Source organism: Homo sapiens, chromosome 1 (genome assembly GCF_000001405.40).
Source record: "Homo sapiens chromosome 1, GRCh38.p14 Primary Assembly".
Taxonomy (NCBI): domain Eukaryota; kingdom Metazoa; phylum Chordata; class Mammalia; order Primates; family Hominidae; genus Homo; species Homo sapiens.
In genome coordinates, this window is record NC_000001.11 from 36569404 (window position 1) to 36591312 (window position 21909).

General features: G+C 53.2%; 2 annotated features.

The window, feature by feature from the left end:
* Nucleotides 2805–3099: a silencer, noted in NCBI's record as "tiled region #1123; HepG2 Repressive non-DNase unmatched - State 21:Repr, and K562 Repressive non-DNase unmatched - State 22:ReprW". NCBI's record gives its function as "represses a minimal TATA promoter and a strong SV40 promoter by Sharpr-MPRA in HepG2 and K562 cells {active_cell/tissue: HepG2 | K562}" and the evidence as "EXISTENCE:reporter gene assay evidence [ECO:0000049][PMID:27701403]".
* Nucleotides 19571–20071: an enhancer, noted in NCBI's record as "H3K4me1 hESC enhancer chr1:37054575-37055075 (GRCh37/hg19 assembly coordinates)". NCBI's record gives its function as "activates a minimal SCP1, AML or CMV promoter by ChIP-STARR-seq in primed H9 embryonic stem cells {active_cell/tissue: H9 hESC(primed)}" and the evidence as "EXISTENCE:reporter gene assay evidence [ECO:0000049][PMID:30033119]".

Consider the following 21909-nt stretch of genomic DNA (forward strand, 5'->3'; position numbering starts at 1 on the left):
TAACCTAATGCCAATAGAAACAAACACAATAGTGATACTGGCATAGAAATTTGTCACCTATTACTGACACATAAGTTAATGATGCACACACACAAAACACACACCTATACATAATATTGAGGCACACCTGTGCGCACACACACACACACACACATGCACACATTGGCAGCCTCCTGTGTTCAATGCCTGATCATTATGGATCGCTAGTCCTGCTTCGCCCTGGGGGTGCTAGGCCTGGAAAGGAGAGTAAACCTCGGTCTCAGCTTTTGAGCAGCTTTGCCTCTAGTTGGGGAGGAGGGGTGCTCACATAGAATATAGAGCCACATCGTAATTACAGCAGACTCATCTACAGCACTTATCATATGCCCCTCACTGAAACACAAATCTTCACATAGAAAACACAAATCCTCACAACAACCTTTGGCTGTAGGTTCTATTATTAGCCCCAGTTTGTAGATGAGGGACATGGGCACAGAGAGATTAAGTGACTTGCCCAAAGTTGCACAGCTCTGAAATGGTAGAGCTAGGATTTGAACTCAGGCCTTCAGGCTCCAGAGTCTTCAGTGTAACTTTTATAAAGACCGTTTCATCACACCTGATTCTGGCTGAAAAACCCCCATGTGCCACTGTTTTAGGCCTAGACCCACCTGCATACACAGACACACACCCACAGTACCTGCGTGGCCCATTTGGAATGAACTACCCAGGGAAATCCACCCCCTGTTGGCACCTGGTCACTCTGCTGTGACGGCTGCGTGCCTGCAGGACTTTACTGTGACCCACCCCAGAGGGGAGGGGCAGCTCATGCTGGAAAAAGCCCTGGAGAGGAGTTCTGAGCAGCAGGGTTGGGAACTCTTTGCCAGGGGAGGAGATGCCTGGGCCGGCAGGTGTCCCATGGAGGAGGCCAGCTCTCCTGGGCCTTGTCTTCAGTCGACCGGTCCCCCTTCCTCTGCTTGTGCTCTAGAACGTTCTTCCACAGCCCAAGCAATGGCTGCTTTATTGCAGCTGGGTTTTCCCAGGGACCAGGGCCTGGGGGAGAAACACTGCCAAAGAACAGATTTTCTCAAACAGAGAAGAGGGGAAAGTGAGTCAGGAATCGAGACAGCAGTGAATTGGGCCTCGAGGTCTTGCTTCTTCAGATACATTCTGGAAAGGTGCAGCCGCAGTGACAAAGAGCCGGGAACTAGGCTGGACTGATCACATTCAATCCCTGTTCAGCCCGGACCACTTCTGCCTGACCGCAGGCAGGTTGTTCTCTAGTCCTCAGTCTCCCCATCTGAAAAATGGAGCTAAGAAGGTCATCTGACACACTTGTAATTGGGGGCCTGGGATGACGCCCTCCAAGGGCCTGCTCCATTTGGACACCATGGGACCCGAGAGTTCAGGGTCATTCACAGCCCTTGGGGGAGTCTCTGAGGGCAGTGGTGGAAGGTGAGGCCCACAACCCCCGTCGCCTGCCCGCCTGCTCCATTGCCTGTGGATTTGTGGGGGGCGGGGGGTTAGGATGGGAAAAAGTGCTTCCACCTGTGACCCTCCCCTGACTGTGGCCTGGAGGCTGCAGGGTCACAGTCTGGTCAGGCCTTCCCAAGGCATTTCTGAAAAGTAGGATGTGGTCCCAAACAGAAAATACATGGGGACTTGTCCACTGCCAGTGTCTCTACTGCTGTGCCATTAGCCAGGTGTCCTGCCTGCCTCAGCCCAGCTGTCCCCTCACCTCAGCCCAGCTGTTCCCACCTCAGCCCAGCTGTCCCTCACCTCAGCCTAGCTGCCCCCTCACCTCAGCCCAGCTGTCCCCCACCTCAGCCTAGCTGTCACCACCTCAGCCCAGCTGTCCCCATCTCAGCCCAGCTGTCCCCCACCTCAGCCTAGCTGTCACCACCTCAGCCAAGCTGTCCCCTGCTTCAGCCCAGCTGTCCCCACCTCAGCCCAGCTGTCCCCACTTCAGTCCAGCGGTTCCCTCACCTCAGCCCAGTCCCCCACTTCAGCCCAGCTCTCCCCTCACCTCAGCCCAGATGTCCCCCACCTCAGCCCAGCAGTCCCCTCACTTCAGCCCAGCTGTCCCCATCTAAGCCCAGCTCTCCCCTCACCTCAGTCCAGCTGTCCGCCACCTCAGCCCAGCTGTCCCCACCCCAGTCCAGCTGTCCCCTCTCCTCAGCCCAGCTGTCTCCTCACCTCAGCCCAGCTGTCCCCCACCTCAGCCCAGCTGTCCCCACTCCAGTCCAGCTGTCCCCTCACCTCAGCCCAGCTGTCCCCCACCTCAGCCCAGCTGTCCCCACCCCAGTCCAGCTGTCCCCTCACCTCAGCCCAGCTGTCCCCACCTAAGCCCAGCTGTCCCCACCCCAGTCCAGCTGTCCCCTCACCTCAGCCCAGCTGTCCCCACTCCAGTCCAGCTGTCCCCCACCTCAGCCCAGCTGTCCCCACCCCAGTCCAGCTGTCCCCTCACCTCAGCCCAGCTGTCCCCACCCCAGTCCAGCTGTCCCCCACCTCAGCCCAGCTGTCTCCTCACCTCAGCCCAGCTGTCCCCCACCTCAGCCCAGCTGTCCCCACCCCAGTCCAGCTGTCCCCCACCTCAGCCCAGCTGTCCCCACCCTGGTCCAGCTGTCCCCCACCTCAGCCCAGCTGTCCCCACCCCAGTCCAGCTGTCCCCTCACCTCAGCCCAGCTGTCCCCACCCCAGTCCAGCTGTCCCCCACCTCAGCCCAGCTGTCCCCTCACCTCAGCCCAGCTGTCCCCACCTCGGCCCAGCTGTCCCCACCTCGGCCCAGCTGTCCCCCACCTCAGCCCAGCTATCTCCCCGGCTTTATCCAACTACTCTCTCAGTATAAGCCTAGATGCTCCTGAACATGAGTCACAGTGTCCTCCCATAGGAACCTGGAGCCCGGCGGCTTCCCCACATGAGCTTTGCCATTCTCTCACATCCACCCACCTGTTCCTCCATCAGTTCAGGGGTTTCCTGTGCCCGCCAGCTCTTCCCTTTGTTATGCCAGTGGCCCTGCTCTTGCCCCAGACCAGGCATTCCCGCCCCTTTGCTCAGCTGCTCTCCGCCAGCAGCCGAGCTCATCCTCCTCAGGTCAGCCTCAGCGCTGCCTTCCACATCTCCGCAGCTCTTCTCCCATCACATCAGTCACGCTGTCTCCGTCGCCAGAGCTTCTCCCCTTACGTGGGTGCACTCATTCTCTTTTCTGGGCACCCTCTCAGTGAAAAGACTTTATTGGGTTCCCCCGGCAGCTTCTCTGGCATTGCTAGAGAGTGACCCCTGCTCCACCCCTACTTTCCTCAACATGGGGCCAGGGTCCTGGGTTGTGGTGTCTAATCCTAGAGTCATACCTGGCTCTTCCCTGAGAGGGACAGGGTACGGGGAGGAAGCAGCCAAGACTGGAAGGAGAAAGGAGGGTTCAGGCATCCCTGTCCCCTGAAGACAGGAGGGACCCCAGCATTGTCCCCAGTCCTTCTCGAAGCTGGGGGCAGGGTGTACCTGGTATGACCCCATTCCCAGAGCAGCAGGAGGGAGCCCAGGCATTCCACAGTCACCCAACTCCAGATAGGAGAGGTGCCCCCCAACATCGCCTGCCCGATCGCCACGGGAGCAACTCCTGGAATCATCTTCTCCACCCTCATCGGAACCCCCAGAGGAGAAAAGACAGATCCTGATTCAATATGCAAATTCAAGCAGATGGCGGAGCTGGGTGATGGACGGGCTGTCAGGAGAGCACGTCACCATGAGACATGTGTCTGTGTGATTAGTGTGGGGACACTGTGTGGGGGAGGGGCCTGGGGCTGTGTCGCTGCCTCTGGGGAGTCTGATGGGGAGTGTGGGAGAAGGGTGGACGAGGAAATGGGGTGACTTTCCACCACGGGCCAGTCAGGACCTCTCTGTGGCCAGCTCACCAGGCCTGTCCTGGCCCCTCTCAGCCAGGATGTTAATTCCACCAGGTCAGGGCTGGAACAGGAGGGGATGCATTAGTATAATCTGCACCTGTATCTCTGCTCTTGCCATCGGCCAAACAATAAAAGACACAATATTTACACAACTTACCGGGGGAAGCAATATTGGGCCATTGATTTTGTGTCCCTCGGATTTTCATGGTCTAAACCTTAATGGTTTTTAATCATAAAATATTAGTGCTGCAGGGCACTTAGCACTGGCACCTTGCTGGTGAGGGATGGCCTCCTCCCCTTCACGGCTCCAAGGGGAGCACCCCTTGGAGGAGGGGCCGATATCGCCCTGCACACACACCCAGGGCAGCAGAGCCTCCCACGTGCCTGGTGTGGAATTGGCCCAGGCCTGGGCACAGCGTGGGAGCCCCTGGAGGACAGAGCATCCTACCAGTCAGTCCCCCTAGTTCTAGAGGCAACCAGCTCCTCAAAACTGATCTGCCTTCATTAAGATTTCTTAAAAATAAAAGCTTCTGCCTTTGTTTCTCTCACTCAGATACACTTTTCACCCCATCTCTGCTTGAGGACCCCACCCCCCTGTCCTGTCTCCTAAGTGGGGTGCTGCACAAGGATCAGACCAGCTCCTATTCATTTCTGTATCTTTGGTGCCTGGCACAGTGCCTGGAACAGCATTGGTGCTCAGTATTGGTTGAATGAATGAGTAGATGTGTTAGACTCTAAAGGCAGGTTTCAAAAAGGAATTTTCCATTGACTCATTCATTCATTCAACAAATATTTATTGATCACCTACTATGTGCCTGATCTCAGAGATGAATCAGACCCAGGTCCTGCCCCCACTATACTAGATGCTGTACAGGGGACATCCCATATGCTAGGGCCTGGTGGGAGCTCAGGGAGGGGATCCTGGAGGATGAGATAGAAAGGGCTTTTCAGCAGGGAATCTGAGCCTCCTGAATGAAGCTCAGCCTCCTCAGGGGACCACTTTGAAAGCCCAAACTTGTGAGATGTAGAGATATGAACAGATCGCATGTCTAAGCCCTCTCTCATCCCAACCAGGGAGGGCTTCCTGGAAGGGGCTTCCTTGAAGAATAAGGTTTGGATGTTGTGAGTGTGTTTGTGGGAGCAGGAAGTCCTGCTGGCTCTCTGGGAGAGGCTGATTCCTCTGGTGCAGAGGAAGACATGGGTGGGAGGTGATTGTTGCTGTTGTTTATTTGTACCAAAAATGAACACATTGCATACCCCACCCAGCTTCCCCCATCCCCAGCGCCTACGGGGAAGTCAATAGCAATGGATTACACAGCGAGGGGAAGGCTGAGAGCACAATTGGAAGAAAGATAAAGATAATTAAAACTAATTCCAACTGTTCCCAGAGAAATCAATTTCATAACTTCAGTGTGTCCCTAAGCTTGTTTCTGAGGCTCTGCAGCACTGAGCACAGGGCATGTGTTTGAGTGTGTGATGTGCAGACACTGGTATGTGTATACACGGGTGCCTGTAATGCATGCGTGCATGTATGTGGCTTCATGCACATGTGTGCATGTTTGTATGTACATATGCATACTTTGTGTATGTTGGGGGGACACACAGGTGTGTTGGGCAGCAATTCCTCTAGGTCTCCATGTGGTACCAGCTTATGGCCTCACCTTTGATTCTGGAGGAGGAGGGGTGGAAAGGGTAAGAGAGTTAGGGTGGCTGGGTAGGGTTAGGTTACCCTCCCCTATACCAAGGCCTTAGACACCACCTGTCTAGTCCAACTCCCCCTTATACACATGGGGAGACTGAGGCCCGGAGAGGGGAGGCTTGCCATGGGTCACGCAGCAGGTGAGATGCAGCAATGGAACGAGAATGCTAGTCTCCTGGGTTTCCTCTACTCTAAGGACTTGCTGGCCACTGGGACAAGGACAGCCAGGGGTGGAAGGAGTGGTAGATCTGATTTTATATGGCTGGGAAGCTCCCGTGTGAATAACCCCTTAATTATCTAATTTCTTCATTCTTCTAACATAGGCTGAGCACCTGCTATGTGTTAGCCCTGTGGGTTCTCTAGCTTGTCTAGGGGACTGGGGGTTGTCATAGCTGGCTCTGAGAGAGGTTGGTTCCTCTGGGGGAGAGGGCTGCTTGGCTGTGGTGACTGGTGGATGGTGGCCTCTCCTAGTCCCTTATGGGTAAGTCTCTGAAGCAGTGCTCAGGACAGGGCCCCGTCTAAGAAGCATGGGCTGCCAAATGGCCTTCCCTGGCTGAGGATGGTTCTGTTGGCATTGCTGTCACGGCTGGTGACTTCTCACAGGGACCTCATGGTTTGCCTCTCAGGGACTTCCTGGTGTAGCCAGGAGTCCTGCCCATGCCCCCCAGCCCCTTGGTGAGTGTGCCTTGGGCAGCGTCTGATATGTCCCTGAGTTTCCCAGGACCTGGCACAGACCCCAACACACAGTAGGTCCTCCCCCAGCACAGGACTGGCAAACGAATTAGCGAACCTTTGAGGACTGAAGTGATCCCCTCCAGAAAACCAAGCCAGGAAGTTTATCACTCTAAATGAACGGTTCCCTCTACCTACCTGTGCCTGTGTCCTCGACTTTTAAATGGGGCACTATTATCCACATGGCAGCTTCAGTGAGTGTGAGACGTGGTGGCACATCACTTCGTTTCCCCTTCTTACAGGCCCTGAGCTTTCCCGTTCATTTTCCCTTCTTATAGCGACTTCATTTTCCTTTCTAACAGGCCCTGAGCTTCCGTGAAGAGGGTCACTCCATGAGCAAGGAGCCAGGGAACAGCTCATGGCCATACAGCTTCCTGGAAGTAGGGGGTGGGTGAGGTGACGCTCCCAGCGCCTCCAGGCAAGGTGTTTGGGCACTCCATCCTTGGTCCAGCCTTCCATGGTGGGCCTTGGGGGTGGGGATCCTAGAGGGCTCCTGGGCAGCGCATCGGTTCCTGAGGTGCCCCGGATGACCTCTAGATGGCAGCATTGGCGAGCGGGAGCCAGATAGGAGCTGATGGGGGTGGGCTGGGCCTGTGGGCTAAGACTGCAGCTCCTGTCCTTAAGCCCCCACCTTGTCCCATGGTCTGAGAGCAGAACGTGGGTGGGGGTGGGGTGAGGGAAGAAGGCACCTTGGGAATTCCTGGACTGGGGAGTCAGGCTGGTCCTTTCTCTTCCTGAGATGGTCCTTCTGAGAGCTGGATTTCCAGCTGTTGAATCTGGAAGTCAGCAGCTGGGCAGGACACTGTGGCTGGAACCTCTTCTCTTAAAGACCCTCACACCCTAAGGAGTGGGACCTCCAGGGGTGTGGGCATGAGGGTTTCTTTGGCAGCAGGGCAGTGGACAACCATGCGGCTAGGATGCCCAGCAGCCCCAGTGTGAGGAAACCACTTTCTGCTCTGTTCTACCCTTCTCAGCATCCCCTCCTCTCTCTCCCTTTCCCCAGGAAGCCGGAGAGGAACAGATGGGAACTGTCAGCAACTCGTTAGGGTTACAGATGGGGTGCTGGGGTCGGGGAGGGAGGAGGGGAGTTGGAGGGGGCAGAGTTCTTGGCCAGGTCCCTGTGGAATCCCAGGCAGGGCCCGCTGTGGGAGGGCACTCTAGTCTTTCCTCTCAATTCCTTTCCAACCTGGGGAGAGGCCTGGGAGAAATCCCAGGCTCTCCTGGCGGCTGCATCTGGTAGTAATCTGAAGGTGAGATGGGAGTTCAGGGGCTGAGAAGCTTGCAGGCATCCTTTGTTTTTTCCAGGGCCTGGCCTGCTGGTGCGGGCTAGATGGCAGTGCTCCTCCTCACTGCTGTCATTCCAGGGCAGCTCTCAACTTCCCTGGGAGGCTAGGGATAGATTTGATATAGGGTGGGAACTTACAGCACCCCCAGATCACAAGGGAGAGGGGACTGAAGACCATCTTTGGTCTGCAGGTGCTCTGGGGAGGAAACAGTGGGTGAGTGTAGACTGTGGGGCCCTGAGCCACCTGCCATGGCCTCAGGTGCTGCGGCAGGCAGCTGTTTATAGAAGGAGGATATTTGGGATAGGTCACTGAGCCTTGACTGCCCAGCTAGCCTCTGGTGTCTTGGCCACAAAACACTGAAGCAGCTGCACGGTGCAGTGCCTCAGTGCTGCAGTGCTGCAGTGACAGAGGAGGCCTGAGTGCGGGTGTCTGGTCTGCTACCAACTCCCGGTGACCTTCACCAACTCATTTTCCCTCTCTAAGCCTTAATTTCACCATCTGGTAAATAATAATAATAATAACAATAATAATAATGGCTCCCTTCCATTGAACACTTACACAAGATACAACATTTTGTGTGGATTATCTTATTTAATGCTCACAACCCCCCTATGGAGAAATGAAGACTCAAAGGGGGTGAGTGACTTGGCCAAGGTCACACACCAAGGGGCAAGAGATCAGACCCAGCACTGCCCGAAGTCAAGGCCTCGCTCCTCCCCTGTCCTTTCCATAGGGCTGTCTGCTCTTTCTCTGGTGGGTGGGGGCAGAGGGCTGACACACATTTCCTTTTTTTTTTTTTTTTTTGAGACGAAGTTTTGCTCTTGTTGCCCAGGCTGGAGCGCAATGGCACGATCTCGGCTCACTGCAACTTCTGCCTCCTGGGTTCAAGCGATTCTTCTGCCTCAGCCTCCCGAGTAGCTGGGATGACAGGCAGGCGCCACCACGCCCGGCTAATTTTGTATTTTAAGTAGAGACAGGGTTTCTCCATGTTGGTCAGGCCGGTCTTGAACTCCTGACCTCAGATGATCTGCCTGCTTTGGCCTCCCAAAGTGCTGGGAATACAGGTGTGAGCCACTGCGCCTGGCCCCGAAACTCCTATCCTAACGTCTCTCCAGGAGGCTTAGGAGTGGGTGAGTGGAAGAGTGGTTATCGTAGAATTCTAGATTTAGCCAATAAAAATCCAGGATGCCTAGTTAAATTTGAATGCCAAACAACAAGTTTATAAGTGTGTTCCATGCAATAGTTAAGACATACCCATACTAAAGAATTACATATTGTTTATTGGCAACCCTGGCCAGTAGAATGCATTGCACTGTGCGTTTACTAATTTCCAGGAATTGTTCTGGAGATTGGGAGATGAGGGCTGGGTGGAAGAGAGCAGAGATGTGTATGGGTCACACCCAAGCTTTGCCACTCACTGCTAGGGCTGCCTCTTCGGGCTCAGTTCCTTCATCTGTCAAATGGGAAGAAGGACCGTCTCCTCTGCCCTCCTAAGGGATGATATAAGTATCCAACACCCAGTTAGTTGTGAGTGTCTTTGAATAATCCAGACAGCCTTGCCAAGATGAGCCCTGGTCTGGTTACTGGTGGGTGCCAGCCTGAACCCAGCCTTGTCTCCACCTCCTAAGCACCCACTGGTGAGCCTCCTTGCCCACCATCACCCCCAGCTCCACAGAGGCCCACGCGGCAGGCTGGTGTCCATGAAGGATTCTCACTTACGATTCACAGGAAATCAGTAATCACTTAAACCTCCTGTGTGTGGGGGAGCCCTGGTCAGTGATAGGCCTGAGCGGCCTGTGTTTTCAGCCCAGTGCCACCATCGTCCAGCTGGAGAAGCCCCTCACTTCTTAGGGCCTCAGTTTCCTCAACTGTGGTGTGGGAGAAAAGGATGGACATCTCCGAGTTCATTGTGAGAGTCCAGAGAGATGGCAGACAGTAGACACTCAGAACACGCTGGCTCTGCCCTGTCCCCAGCTTTATCTCGTGGCCAGGGACTCAGATCACATAACCAACAGTCAGGCCCAACTCACTTGTCACCTTCATCTGCTGCAGACGGATGATAGGGTGGATAATCCGTATTTTGTAGTGGTCTTGGCTGAGGCTTGTCTGCTGGGGTAAGTGATGGGGACACTCATATGTGCTCTCATAAATACCTGGGCACAGATCCACATGCATTCAGCCCACACACGAGATACACACACCCACACAGACAGGAGGCTCCTCTAACACATCTCCTCTCGACCCTCGCCTGACTGAGCTTCGCCTTTTCTCTGTGAAACACACAGCCTGATGTCCATCCCACGCAGACCTTGCCATCCACAAAGCTGCTCTCTAATGAACTAGCCTGCGGGCCTCTGCTCCCTCAGGCTGAGTTACAGGCTTACAAAGAGTCAGTTGTATTTGTTTCCAGATTGGTTTATGCCACTAGCCCTTGTTATTGAAATTCTACAATTTAATTAAATAATAAGTACTCCACAATACTGTGAGCACACAAAAAGTTGTTGTTTCTATAAAATGAAATTGAAGTCTCTAGAAAGACTCTATAAAGGTGAATTGCTTAAAAAATTGCTGTCAAATTAGGTGTGGATAAGCAACTCTAAGATAAGATTGGGAACAAAATTGTGAAGACCTAGAAGATGTGGCACTCATATCACTTTACAAGAGTCTTCTTACCTTCTTGCTCCACTTTAGAGAAATTGAAATAGGAAATTGAGAATGAAGTGTGGGTTTGGTTTACCCAAGAAAGAGGACACAGCTCCAATCATTAGAACCACAGGCAAACCAAAGACTTTGTCCTGCTTTAGAGAAAATTCAAAAGGCAAAAAACGTATATGCTTTTTGAAATAAAATGTTGATGTTGTGTATTTTTTTTTTTTGGATATGGAGTCTCACTCTGTCACCCAGGCTAGAGTGCGGTAGTGCGATCTCGGCTCACTGCAAGCTCTGCCTCCCGGGTTCACGCCATTCTCCTGCCTCAGCCTCCCGAGTAGCTGGGACTACAGGCACCCGCCACCATGCCTGGCTAATTTTTTCTTTTGTATTTTTAGTAGAGACAGGGTTTCACCGTGTTAGCCAGGATGGACTCGATCTCCTGACCTCGTGATCCACCCACCTTGGCCTCCCAAAGTGCTGGGATTACAGGTGTGAGCCACAGCATCTGGCCCCGATGTTGTGTATTTTTTAATGATTTCCCCCAGAACCAGTATTTTGGATTATCCTGCTACCCAAACTTAACGGTATTAGTTTAACCAGAAGGCTTTTTCTGTCAGTACACATTAGTACACACACACACACACACACACACACACACACACACAGAGTCACACACCCTCATAAGCATATCCATGTACACACATTCACACATATGTACCCCTGCACATTTACAACCCTGCACACACATATATACCCATGGATACATGCACTCACCCAAACCACATACTCACACACAGACACATGTGTACGCACATTCTCACACTCCCAGGCTGACACATGTCTACTCAGAGGCACACATGCCCATCAGTAACTCACACATACCTGAGCGCACAGGTGCATACATACACAAGCTGAACCCTTTCCCCCCTGCAAGAACAGCCAAGGCAATAAGTAGAGGCTGGTTTTTAATCAGAAATTCACCCTTTGGTGTTTTTCTCACCTTGGCACGCTGGGGGATTGGGAAGGACAATGAGGAGGGAGGAGGGAGGCTGGGGAGGGAGCCGGTGGGAGGAGTTAGGCCTGGGGCTAGATTCCTCTAGCTGGCACCCGGCTGGGGAGACATGTGGCTGCTGCAGGTGAGCTGGGTTTGAGCTGCATTATTGAGTGCCCTGTTCCACTTTTATCTAAAATGTAGCAAGGACTGGCTGAGAAGGTGGCCCTTTGGGAGGGCCAGGAGGGTGGTGGGAGGAGGGACTCCCGAAAAAAAGGAAGGGGATGCAATCCCACCTACTTGGGAGGCTGGGGCAGGAGAATTGCGTGAACCCGGTAGGCAGAGGTTGCAGTGAGCCGAGATCGCGCCGTTGCACTCCAGCCTGGGTGACAGTGTGAGACTCTGTCTCAAAAAAAAAAAAAAAAAAAAAAAAGAAAAAAAAAAGAAGGGGAAGGGGAGCAGGCTTTGCGGGGATTCAGGGTTGGGCTAGGCCTGTTCAGCCCAGCCTTCCCTTGCTAGGTCTGATGAGATCCATCTGGGATGTTCTGATGTGGGGCTTCTAGACCTGCATCAGATCTCTGGGCGCTAGCTCAGACCTGCTGCATCTGAATCTCTGTGAATCAGGCTAAGGAATCTGCATTTCTAAACTTCCCTTAGTACTTTGATAAGCAGCCAGGTTTGGGAACCTTAGTAGAGAATACTGCACTTCCATAGAAAGACCTCTGTCTTTGGGGATCCCCAGAGATGTGCTGTCTCTCTGGTATCCTCAAGACTCTGTGTGATCCTGGCCAGGAGTGGGGAGCTTTCTAAGAAAAGGGTAGAAAGTCCTGGAGTTCTGGGAGCTGGAGGTAATCTCATTCTTGGGTCCTTTATTTTCTAAAAGGGAAGACAGAGACCTGCAGGAAACAGGACTTGCTCAGGGTCATCAGAGAGTCAGTGGAGTTGCTGGGATTTGAATCTGAGCTATCTGATTCCAAAGCTCATATTTTGTACATCGGTCAGGATCGGCCAGATTGTATGTTGCCTTAACAAACATACCCAAGTCTCAGTGGTTTAAAACAAAAAAGATTTATTTATTATTCCTGCAATGTGTCCAGCAAGGGTCAACAGAATCTCTGCTCATCTTAGTCACTCAGGACCTGGCTTGCCTTTTGTCAGTTTTGGGGCAGAGGGAACAAGCACTCAGAAGGGTGCGTCGGCACTGAAATTCTCTGGCCCAGAAGAGACCACACCACTCTGTTCCCAGTCATTGGTCAGAACTAGCTGCATGCCTCACTTCCACCTACAGGAAGTGAATCTCACCACCTGCCAGGAAGGGGCAGAACTGGAAATATTAGGTGTATTGCACCAGTCACGTCCAGTCTCTGCCAACTGCACGTGACCCTGGGGTCCAGGAGCCCCACTATGTCCCTGATGGGAGCCGTCTAGAGAGCCAGCCTGGGGCAGCCCTTCCCCTCCCCTCTTCAAGTCAGTGCTAGCCTCTCCAGCTCTGTCTCTGTCTCTGTCTCCTCCCTTCCCTGCTCATCTCCTCTTAGGCCCACCTTCTCCATCTTATGCTCCGATCCAGGGGTTTTACGTTCCAGTCCTGGCTTTGCCTCTAACCCACTGTGCAGGGGGACGCAGGATGGGTCTTTTCTCATCCGGTGGGCCTCAGTTTGCCCATCTGCACATTGGGACTCTGCCTGTGAATCTTGGCCCCCACTGCTTCTGTGGAAAGTGTTTCTGGAGGCCGCTGCTTGTTGAGACAACAGACCTAGGGGAACAGACTTTATTTTTCCTCCTTTCCTGTCCCTGTTTTAGAAGATCCCACATATGTTGGGCCTGAAGGCATCCTACGCGTCCTGGGAGCTGAAGGGGCTGCTGCTTCTGCCAGGAAAATTCCTTCTCGAAGGTGGGGAGCTCTCCCCAGAATGAGGCCAGGCCAAACCTGTTCCCTCTCCTCCTCATCACGTCCATGGGAGTGGGGGCAGGTCCCAAGGCAGCCAGCAAGGGAGCCTTGGCCAGTGCATCAGACTAGCGGCTGGGCAGAGAATCCTGGCAGCTCCCCTCTCCCGCTCACCTGGAGACAGCCCGAGAAGTGAGCTTCATATCTTGAAGGGTTTAGATTTGATGTCTGAAAGGGCTTCCTGGCAGAGGCAGTGGCTGCACGGGGGAGTGGAGGACAAGGGAATCTTTTCTGATATAGATTTAATTTTTAATTAGCCTACAAAGCTTAAACATTTCTTACATTTTTAAAATTTGTTTTTAATGTTACAAAAATAATACATTCTCACTATAAAAAACAACACACAGAAGTGTGTAGAGAACAGAGTGAGTGTTCCTCCCTCCCCCAGGCCCATCCTCCAGGGGCAACCAGAGTCGGCAGCTCAGTGTGTGTTCTTCCAGGCCTTTCTCCACATACATACAAATGAGGCCAGAAGGTTTTAGGATCCATCTTTATAAAAATGGGATCATGTTTTTGTTTATACATAGAGTTCTGCAAATCACTCACCCACTTACCCACCCACCCACCCACCCACCAACTCATTCATTCACCCACCCACCCACCTACCCACCACTCACCCACTCACCCATCTACCCACTCACTCACTCCCCCACCCACCCACTCACTCCCTTTCCCCCCTGCCACAGCTAACGCAGTCGCCCACTCACCCATTCACTTTTGAGACATGCACTGGCCCCTGCTGCATGTCTGACCCTGCATTGGTCCCTAGGGCTCTTCTGTGGGCCTCCCTCCCTGGATTCCCTAGCTTAGCTGACGGGGAGGGCACTGCTATCTCTTACTGAGTGCCTGCTGTATACCAGATGATTTCCTACATGTTTCTAACCATTCTAGTGCTACCTGGATTAAATGCCACCTCCTCCAGGGAGGCTTCCCTGGGTGGGGGTGAGTGCTGGTCTTTCTCTTGCTGCTGTGAACTCCTGTGCTCTTTTCACTCCTGTATGTACCCCCTTCAGAGCAATGGCCTGTTCGTGCCTCCCACCTCCCAGCAGACTGTAAACAGCTCCCTGAAGACAAAGATTGGGGTCTGGTTCAAATCTGTACCTACCATTTCTAGCACATGGAAGACACTGGCTCCAAAAATGAGTGCAGCTTCCCGTTAGCCCCATACAGACTCAGGACTCAGGATGGGACCTAGAGTGGGAGGTTCCCCTCCCCAGGCCCTGCGTTCTTTAGAATGGGGACAACTCTAACTGCCTTCCCCCACTTTCCATCCTGTCCCAGCCAACAGATCTTGCATAGATATCCAGGTGGTCTCAGAACCTTGTCAGAGAGAGTGGTGAGTTTCTGCATATCCTTGTCATAGTTTGAACATCTTTTTGGATGGGAAACTCACCACCACTCACATAACCCCTTCCTGTCTGCTAAGAAAGCCTTCCTTGCAAGGAGCCAAAGTCTGTCCCTGATACTGGTAATCACATCCAGTCAGCTCAGGATGGGCCCTGGATGCTGGCCAACCAGCTCACCCCACCTTTCACAAATGAAGGCATTGCATCCAGAGAGGTTAAGCGACTTGCTCGAAGTCACACAGCAAGTGAATAGAGGATTGGAATCCCTGCTCCTCTCCCCACCAAAGGTCCTGGTTCTGACCTCTGGGCCTCACTGACCCGTGGGCTTCCTTTGTCTCAAGGGTTGGATGACTGAGGCCCTGACGTGGGAACCTCTCCCATCCTGACCACCCCTCTCCAGACTGTTCGTGTGTCGGTCCCTGGGGCAGAGCTGATTGGCCTTGAAAGGCTGCAGTTCGGCCCCACCCCCCACCTTGCCTCCTCCTTCCCCAGCTCCTCTCATTTTTCCTCTGAAAGGAAAGAATTAATAGAAAATGTAAGTGAGCAATCTCACAGACGAGGCGGGTTTTCATTATTTGCGGCTGGGGAAGGCAGGCTGGGGCGAGGATCCCAGTGAAGCATGGATTCTGCCAGGAGCCTCGGGAGATAATTGAGCGGTGGAGGCAGAGGCGGCGGGCACTGGGTGGGTGCAGGCTCGGGAGCTGTATTATCATTAGAATTTACATGACACATTAGCCAGAAGTGGCAGCGTTCATCTTTCTAACCAAATCTCATTTACCAAATGAGCAGCCGACACTTGCTTTATCAGCTGGCTCCTTCTCCATGCAGCTTTTTGCGCAGAGCGCTCCGAGTGGCCTGCTGTCCCTCTGGGCGTAAGAAGGAGAGGCTACCGGCAATTACTGAGTTCCCACTGTGTGCCAGACACTTGTTTACATGTTATTGAATCCTCCTAATTCTGCCTACCCTCATAATTCTCGGTAGGCAGTGTTATTCTACCCATTTACGGGCAGGAAAACTGAGGCTTAGAGAGGTGAGGCTATGCTTTAGTTTTCCACTGTTCTAGCAATAATAATAGTAAACTTAAAAGGGTGGACTCTGAAGCCAGACTTCCTGATTTCGAATCTTTGCTCTTCCACCTGCCAGCTGTGTGGTCTTGGGCAAGTTGCTTAACCTCTCTGGATCACCCTGTCCTCAATTGCAAAATGGTATTAATAATCGTACCTATATCAGGGCTATCGTGAGTTCTAAATACAGCACTGAGAGCAAAGTGATGAACATTGAGTGAGTGTAAACCCAGTGAGCACCTTGACATGCATTAGTTGTTATTATGATTCTTTTTACTGCTTGCATTTATTGCGCCCTCACTAGGTGTGTTGTGCTAGACACTCTCCATTCAAGACAGCATTTGATCTTCCCAACAACACAGCACTTTTTCTGATGAGAGACATGAGGATCAGAGAGGTGAATTGGCTGGCCCAAGGTCACTCAGCTCCTGAGTGGTAAAACTTTTTCCTGAGCTGGAATCGGGTCTTTTTGAGACCAAGACAGATGTCCTTCTGTCTGTACCAACTGCTTTCCTGCCCAGAAAGGGAGTTTTCCTTCAGAGAAGGATGGCGAAGTCCTTGATGCTCCTCTCTGAGCTGCTCCCCTCAGCTCTGCCTCTGGCCCCTCCTCTCTGCCCCAAGGGACCTGTGGAGGTGGGGGTGGGGGATGGTGGCTGCTTCTGCCCCAGGAACGTCTTCTGCTGAGCACATCACTCTTGCCGGGAAGGTAGGGAGGGTTAACGACAGGGAACCCCTGATTGAACACCTACTACGCGCTGGGCCCTGGGGTGAGACAGAGATGAATGAGATGCAGCCTCCAATGACAACACAAAGGGTATCACCTGACAGAACATGATTAATTGCAGAAGGAACTGCACAGACAACGGCTAGGGCTGGAGTTTGCAGGCAGAGAGCCCCGTTCTGAACAGGGAGCCGGAGCCTCAGCGCGGTGACGAAGCACTTATTCATTCATTCGGCAGATATTTGTTGAGTGCCCACTATGTGCCAGGTTTTTTTCTAGGTGCTTGGAGCTATCACTAAGAACAAGCCTTTGCTTGTCTTAAAAAAAGTCTTTGCTCACCTGGAGTTTAAAATCCCATGGGGATGACAATGAAGCTAATTTCAGATGGTAAATGCTCTGAAGACAATGGAAAAGGCTGGTGAGGCAGATGGACTGGGGAGGCGTTGTTAGATGTTGAAGTCAGAGGAGGCTTCCCAGAGGAGGTAGCGTTTGATCAGTGACTTGCAGCTGGAGGAGCCGGCCATCTAGGCAGGGGAGACAGCGTGGGGGCGTGGCTGGAGGGTGTCGTGGGAGGGGAGGGGAGAAGGAGATGAGGTGGGAGTAGGGACCCTACCTCTTCTCTGAGCAGCCTTGCTCCTCCCCAGGTTGGCCTCTTTGCGTGTCTTTGTCTCCGTTGTCAATGTCCTTTTCTGCTTGAAGGTCTTGTGGATGCACCCTGAGGGTCACAGCCAGCTCCTGGAACCAGGGTTTCCTCGTCCCCATCTCCGCCCTCTGGCCTCACCTGCCGCTGCTTTCTCGGCTCTGCACTCCAGACTTCAGGCTCTTCACACCACTGTGCCTTTGCCCAAGCTATGCCTTCCATTTGGAATTCCTCTCTGTTTCAGCTTGGCAAACTTCTGCTCCTCCTTCTAGACACAGCTAAAACGACACCTTCCCAGAGAGGGTTGACACCCCCTCCTCTGAATCCTTCCATCCCAAGGCTCCCTCTCTTAGAGCACAGGACACATTGCAGTAAAACCACTGTTTCCCGGAGGTGGGCCCTATTCATCAGTGTCTGTTGATGAGTCCAAGAAGGAGGTCCCTTTTTTGTCTATGGCTCTTTAACTTCTGAGGGGACTCCTGGCTGGGGTTGCAGCTGTCACCTTTGGGATCTCTCTCTGACTCTCTCTGAGGCTGAAGGGGGAAGAAAGAGAATTTGCTCTCTTTGTTTCCTCCTCTCCCCCATGGGGAGGTACCCGACATACTGGCCTAGGCTGGGGGTGGAGCAGCCCCCTGGCTTGGGAGTTTGCACTTCTCTGCACCAGGAAATGACTTGGAGATGCTCTGTCAAGCACAAGATATAAATTGCAGGCAGTTTTTAAACGTTTGGAGAGATTGCTTTTTGAGTGGCAACCTGCATCTGTGCATATCGGAGGGGGCGGGGCAGGGCTTCATTTACTTTTCTCTATTCTCTCTCCTCCCTGGGGCTCAGTCCCTTCTTGGCCAGGCAGGACCCTGGCTCAGGCCTGGGGTAAGACGTAGGGGGCTCTGGACACCATGGGGCCTGGTTGCAGGGGTTCCCCAGGCCCAGCCTCTGACCTCCTTCTGAGGGGAGCTGAGCGAGGGGTTGGCAGGCCCTGGCCAAGGAGTCAGTGGACAGGCCGGCAGACAGGTAACAGGCTTACCTGCTGGTGGGCGGTGTCCCCATCCCCACTCCCCGCTCTCAAACAAGATAGGCTAAGGGGACTTGCTTTCAATGCTTCTCTGCTAGACTGACTTTCAGGGCATTTGATTCGACTGCATTTCCTTCTCTTTAAGCCACACTCATCAAATCCCAGAGAGGCCCCAGCTCAGCCTAGATGTTCTCATTTTCTAGACCTTCTGGGGCCATAGGCTGGGCTTCTGTGTCTGGCTGTGCAGGCTACTGAGGCTTGGGGTTAACGGGAGATAATCTGTCAACCAGGATGATTGCAATGAGGCCAACTGCTGACCCCAGAGGCAATTATTCATTTGTTTCTTTGTTCATTGATTCATTCATACAAGAAATGTGTTTGAGTGTTTACTCAATACTAGGTATGGCTTAGGAGCCTGGGAATAGCAGGGTGAATTAACTGGAGTAGGGGCTGCCGTCATGGAGTTTACATAGGAATTTGTTCCTTAGCTTCAGTTCAGCTTTCTCATTGTTTCACAGTGATAGGAACAGTGCTCCCCACACGGGAGGTTTGAGGAATCAGTGACGGTGAGGCTGTAAAAGCCCTATGAGGTGCAGGGAGGGCTTCATAGGTGAGAACCACACCCTGCTTCTGGTGTTGTCCTTATTAGCCCTGCACCCTTAGGAAGCTTCCTGAACTTTCTGTGCCTCAGTTGTAAACCGAGAGTGATAGTAATGAGGTATGGACATGGAGGGTTGTGGGGAGGATTGAATGGAAGCCACGCCTGGCACAGGGTGAGGGCCACGGGGTGTTTGCTACCCTTTGCCCCTGTGGTATGCTGAGGGAGGGAGGAGCCAGGGGGCATTCCACGAAGGCAGGGCCATATCTCCCCCTCTCACTATCAAATCCCAGGCCCCAGCTCAGGGCCTGGCACACAGTAGGCATTTGGTAAGTAATAAAGGGCACGCCCGTCCCCAGTAAGTGAGTAAAGGGCATGAGATGCTCTGCTTGAGGAAAGACCCAGCTCTGTTCTCAGGGAGCCCCAGTCTAAGGGAAGGAGTCCTGGTGTGAGGGGAGCCGTGTTCCAACCCTGGAAAAGCCCCGGGCTGAGGAGAGACATGGCAGAAACTTCCGGTCCCAATTCTCTCATTCTGACTTCCCAGATGGATCACCCCTGACCTCTCTTGGAGCCCAGTCCCAAACCTAGCACAAAGCTGAGTGAGGACTTCCAAGTCAGCCCTGGTGGGGCTGGTGCTCCTGGCCCCTCCCTGCCTGTCCCTGCCCCTCCTTGCCCATCCTCCCTGCTCATCCTTGTGCCCTGTGCTCCTGTTGGGTCCCTCGAGGGATTCTTGCAGGCCCCAGAAGCTTCTTCCAGACAATAACCCTGTCCCTGCTCCTGGGGACATGAGGTCCCCATCCCAGGAGGAGGAGAGGGGAAGCAGAGCTTCCTGGGCAGGGGTCAAGGATTTGCAGTCAAAACCCATAGGGAATCAGTTTGCTGGGAGGTTGAGGGTTGCTTCCAACCCCAGTAAGGCTTTGGGCCATGCCATGGTCCCTGCTCAGGTGGCCCTGCAGTCATGTCCCCTCACAGAAAAGCATCCCTGGGAGGTGGACTCAGCTGGACACAGGGCAAGGGGCCCTTGAAGGGTAGGGGCCTCCTGGGCAGGCATGGAGCTGGGTTGAGGGCAGAGGCCATGCAATTCCCCCTCCCCACCTGGAAGAGGGAGCTGCCAGCTCCTCCGCAGCAGTCAGAAGGGCTCCCAGAGGACCTGGCCTCCCCAACACGCTTGGAGAGCTGGTTACGGTTTGAGTTAATGCTCCTTAGAAGGAGCCGATGGGTCCCTCCGGGGCCTTTCGGGAGATTACAGATCGCATTCAAACCAATCCACCCTGGAGAGGAAGGGGGAGAGGGAAGGCGAGTGCACTAAATCAGCCATCTGAGCCCAGGAAGCCAGGAAACCTGGAGAGGGCTGGAGGCAGCACCAGAACAGTGGTAAGGCAAACAATTCCAGAGAGCAAACTGTGTGCTAGCCCTGGTCCTAGTAGTCTAAGGGATCAGCCTCACCTTGGCCTATCGGGTAGGTGCTATTATCGTGCCTATTTGACAGATGAGGAAACAGACTCCAAGAGAGGTTAAGCCACTTGCATAAGGTCACAGGGCCACTAAGTGGGGCATCAGGGATTCGAACCCAGGCAGCCTGGCATCCCAGCAGCACTGCTTACCACAGTGCTGCAAGGTAGAGCAGCACCTGGCACTACATCAGGAAGTGGATACAACCAGGAGCTGGTGCTGATGTTGAGACCTGGCTGAAGCTGTGTGGACAGGCGCTGGCCTGAGCTCATGCCTGCAGAGAACACTCCCTATTCTTCTTTGTGTCCAGTGGGCTTGTGGGGGAGACATGGAGCTCACATTCCTGGGATCCCTTCCTCTCGTTGGAGTCTCAAGGGATAGGGGGTCTGAGAGATGGTCCACCTTTACCACTCCTGGCTCACCCTGCCTGGATGGTTGACCATTCACTCGTACTGAGGCCCAGGACAGAGTCTGCTTCTCCGATATTTTTTGGGAGGAGATATTCAGGTCTGGGCTGTGCTCTGCTCTGAGGGGGCTGGTGGGAGAGGGTTGGGCTTTCAGGGAAGGTTCTAAGGGGCTGGTAGCTGCAAGGGCATTTACATCAGGAATAGCACACTCTCAGTCATGGGTAGCCCTATCTCCTACTCCTGGGCCAAGGCAGATCTCCATCTGACCTCAAGCTGGCTGTGGGATATGACAAAAGTTCCTAACCCGGAGCTGGAGGGAGGGTGGGTGGGTGTGGCCGCAAAACAGACAGCCGAAAGACACTATCCTGAGAGACCAAAGAGCCTTCTCCAGCCCTCCTGTCCCCCGGAGTCTCAGGTACCTGAAGTCCCAGGCCACTTTCTTGCTTAAACATTTTCAATGATTTGTAATTGCCTGCAGAATAAAGCTCAGTTTGGGCTGCATCTGATTTCCAAAGTTCTTTCATCTTAGCCTGTTGCGGCCAGTCAGTGTACAAGGAGTCTCAAGGGAAGAGCCGGGACAGGGCTGGGAATGTGCAGCCTCCAAGGGCCCCTTGACAGTGTCGCTATGGAGGTATTCAAGGTTACATTGTTACTTCTCTGGGACACACACCCACTCAAGGCCTGGCCAGAGGGGCGGGCTCATTTGTGTGGTTCATTAGGGGATGAATCCCTTCCTTTCTTCCCCTATGGGCTGGGCTTCAGAGTCCCTTTCTCTGTACTTTTTGCTGCCTTATCCCACAGAATCCTGGATTTGGCAGGGTAACTGATACAATGAAAAACGGCAAATTGCAACTTCGGGGTGTAAACAAAATGCAGCATTATTTGTTTCTCCCACTGTGCTTTTGCATTTTATCCTCATGGCTTATTGTTTCACTTTCAGGTAAGAAGGCCATTAAAAAGTCACTTTTAGGCATAAAATAGGTTTCAATTACAAAATAAGGATGTATAGTCCCAGACGATAATCCACATTTCACATCTGATTTAAAGTCGAATCTTTTCCCTCTTGTGGAGGGAATCTGGCTTGTGACCAGAACAGCTGACAGATTGCAGGGGACAGGGCATGCTGTAACTGAGTCCTCCAGGGCTGGGGAAGGGGATGGAGGAAGGGAGGAGGGCAGTGAACTTCCTTTCTCATTCATTCTTGGGTGCTGACTGACGATACGCATCTCCGTCCGTTTCCCCTCAGCTTCCACGTCTCTAATGGGCCCTCTCCACACAGACTGTTGCTGTTGAGTCCCAGCTCTTCCTGGAAGTCCCCGTGGGCATGACTCAAAATGGTCCCGAGCTGTTCTCTTTCTGGGCTCAGCAGTGAGCACACAGCCTTTGTCCCCTCATGCACTGGGCATGCAGACACCCCCAGGGCAGCTGCTTCTCTTCTGCCATAGTCTCTTGCCTATGGTAGGAGTTAGACCCCAGGATGGAGTCT